The 793-nt window shown below is 47.3% G+C and overlaps 1 annotated feature.

The window, feature by feature from the left end:
* Window positions 378–547: an enhancer, noted in NCBI's record as "experimental_87198 CRE fragment used in MPRA reporter constructs". NCBI's record gives its function as "activates a minimal promoter by MPRAs in K562 erythroleukemia cells, with activity observed for both the introgressed and non-introgressed 6:102800715 variant alleles {active_cell/tissue: K562}" and the evidence as "EXISTENCE:reporter gene assay evidence [ECO:0000049][PMID:34662402]".

Raw genomic sequence — 793 nt, 5'->3', positions numbered from 1 at the left:
CCTTAAACTGATTGGTTTAGGATTGGTCTCAGGGGAAGGGAATCCAAAAGCCCAACCTGCCAGCGAAAAGGTAAAGTTTTGTTTGTTTGTTTGTTTTTTTCAGTTGGGCTTTTGGCCTCCCTCTCGCCATGCAAACTGGTAAAAGAGCCTGGGATTTTTGGTCTGTCCTTACCCCTCCCCTCATTTCATTTTGATACAGTTTTCCAATAACCTGGTTTGTCTGTTCTTGCCTTCATGCCATCAAACTCCAAAGGGACATGCAACGGGAGACTCAGATGACCCCTTTTGCTGGGCACCCTTAGATCGGCCTCTGAGGGAGATCTGACTGCTGTCTTTTCAAAACAGTACCCTCTGTCAGCAGAAAGCAGTTAGGATAGATATTTGTCCTTATCCTTATCTTTATTCCGAAGGCAGTTAGATGTACTTCTTTAGAGGGGGGAAAGAGACAGCCAAGTATAAAGGGGTTACTGAGAACCCCCCACTGCCTGTGCACTGGGAGGAGTGTGCACTGGGGTAGAGCCTCAGCAAGTTCATGCTGTTTGCAGTGCAGTGGAGCCTGGTCCCTCCTCTTCCTGGGTGGCAACAGGGATTCAATCTGCGAGACAGGAAGTTCACTGGCAGGACTTTGGCTTTGTGGAGGGTCCCTGTTTCCCCTTTTTTTCCCAATAAATTCCTTTTTTTCTCACTTTTCAAAGTGTCTGCGAGTCTAATCTCTGACGAAGAACCTGGCTGTCAGCCGAACTAAGGAAAAAGTCCTACAACTGTGATACTTGCCTATGCCTGGTGAATTCCA

Source organism: Homo sapiens, chromosome 6, assembly GCF_000001405.40.
Source record: "Homo sapiens chromosome 6, GRCh38.p14 Primary Assembly".
Lineage (NCBI taxonomy): Eukaryota > Metazoa > Chordata > Mammalia > Primates > Hominidae > Homo > Homo sapiens.
This window is presented reverse-complemented; position numbering and strand designations above follow the sequence as displayed.